At 44.8% G+C, this 2062-nt stretch overlaps 1 annotated feature.

The window, feature by feature from the left end:
* Positions 880-1080: a silencer, noted in NCBI's record as "peak1118 fragment used in MPRA reporter construct". NCBI's record gives its function as "represses an SCP1 promoter by STARR-seq MPRAs in K562 erythroleukemia cells {active_cell/tissue: K562}" and the evidence as "EXISTENCE:reporter gene assay evidence [ECO:0000049][PMID:32103011]".

The following is a 2062-nucleotide window of genomic DNA, read 5'->3' on the forward strand; positions in this document are numbered from 1 at the left end:
CAATTCAAATGCTAATCTCATCCAGAGACAGCTTCACAAACATTCTCAGACGTAATGTTTAACTAAATATCTGGGCACCCCATGGTCCAGTCAAGTTGGCACATAAAATTAACTATCACAGGGAGAAATTAAATGCTGCGATAGACAGAGTTCCAAGATGGCCCCAGATTCCTACCCCCGGCATACATCCCCTGCATAGCCCTGTCCCTTGAGTGTGAGAACAGTGAATGCGATGAGTCAGTCTCTTGATTAGCTTATACTACATAGTAAAAAGGATGGGATAGTCACTCCTACTATTATGTTAGTCTATTTAAGATTCATCTTAGCAGACTGGAGGGAGACTCCTTTGCTGGCCTTGAAGAAATTAGCCACCATGTTGGAAAGAGGACCTCTGCAGGGGCCACATGGCGAACACTGTGGGTGGCCTTTGGGATCTGGGACTAGCCCCCAGCTGACATCCAGCAAGAAAGCAGTGACCTCAGCCCTCCAACCACAAGGAGCTGAATTCTGCCAGTAACCACATGAGCATGGAAGAGGATGCTGAGCTCAGGAAAATAAGCCTGCTCAGCTGCTCAGCACCAGGACTGCAGCCTTGTGAGAGCCTGATCAGAGGACTTGCAAAGCTAGGTCTAGTTCCTAACCCATGGAAAAACTGTGAGAGAACAAATGTATATTGTTTCAAGCTACCAAAGTTGTAGTCATTTGTTATGCAGTGGCAGAAAACTAATAGAAAGGCAAACAACATTTTTAATGTAAAAGCATTTTGAAGAGTCATGTTTCCCAAACTTCTGCCTTTTGCAGTCTTTCTTTGCAACTTCCACTGTGTCTACCTTCTATCTGGGCACTGCACCAGTGATTAATGAGGTCTGCATAAGACAGATACCAGAAAGCTATTTGCTTTGGCCTTGCCTTCAGCAACAACAGCACTAAAATCAGAGTGTAGGGTGCTAGCCATGTGGAGTTCTTATAAATCTAAACAAAGGAATTCTTGAATAGCTATTCAAGAGAAGAAGTGCTTATCTGTGTTGTCCCTAATGCCATAAAGTATTTCTCCCCTGGTGTGAGTCCCACATTCTGGAAGACACTGCAGTATGTAATGACACCATTGCCTTCAGTGCTTCGTGGGAGGGTCTTTAGTGGCAACTCCCTGAGGACAAATGTGTATGGGGAGTGGCCCCTCCCAGACACACCCTATGCCTTGTTACAGCTGTCAAGGAAAGAGGCATTCCTTGTTTTCTGCAATGAATGAGTGGCAAATGAAGTCACAAATGGGGTCAGGCCACCAGCTTTCTTCTCTGCTGAGGCCCTTTGTCACTCTTGATAAAATGTTCATCACTGTAGTTCTTTGCCAGGTCACCAACTTGTCCTTCCAGCCACTCAAGAGTAAAACCAGAAGCTGTATGCCCTGCACCAATTTGTAAGTTTCCAAGGCATGAATTTAAATCATGTACACTATAAGTCTGGCAAGGGTCTCGGTAGACATCTCTGCATTAATAACTATGTGGCTTGTGTTCTCTGTGCATTGTATGTAAAAACTCCTAGAAAAATGATTCTGAAAAGGCAGCTGATTGCTAATGCTTGTGATGGAAGTTAAAAACATGGGTGTGTGCATGGATGTTGAATGTTGAATAAAGGCCAGGCACAGCGGCTCATGCTTGAAATCCCAGAGCTTTGGGAGGCCAAGATGGGAGGTTCTCTTGAGCCCAGGAGTTTGCGACCAGCCTGGATAACACAGTAAGACCTTGTCTCTACTAAAAATCAAAAAGTTAGCACGGTGTGGTGGTGTGTGCCCACAGTCTCAGCCACTGGAGGGGATGTGGGAAGTGGTAATGGCAGAGGTGGGAAGGCATCAGATTGGAGGCAGGAGGATCGCTTGAGCCCAGGAGTTTGAGGCTGTAGTCAGCTATAATCACGCCACTGTGCTCCAGCCTGGGCAACAGAACAAGAACCTGTCTCTATCAAAAAAAAAAAAAAAAAAAAAAAGGAATTTTGAATAAAGAGATGGTTTTTAAGCAGAAAACAGACTTTTTAAGTCTGTTCTAAGGGAACAGAGTGAACATCT

This window comes from Homo sapiens, chromosome 10 (assembly GCF_000001405.40).
Source record: "Homo sapiens chromosome 10, GRCh38.p14 Primary Assembly".
NCBI lineage: Eukaryota > Metazoa > Chordata > Mammalia > Primates > Hominidae > Homo > Homo sapiens.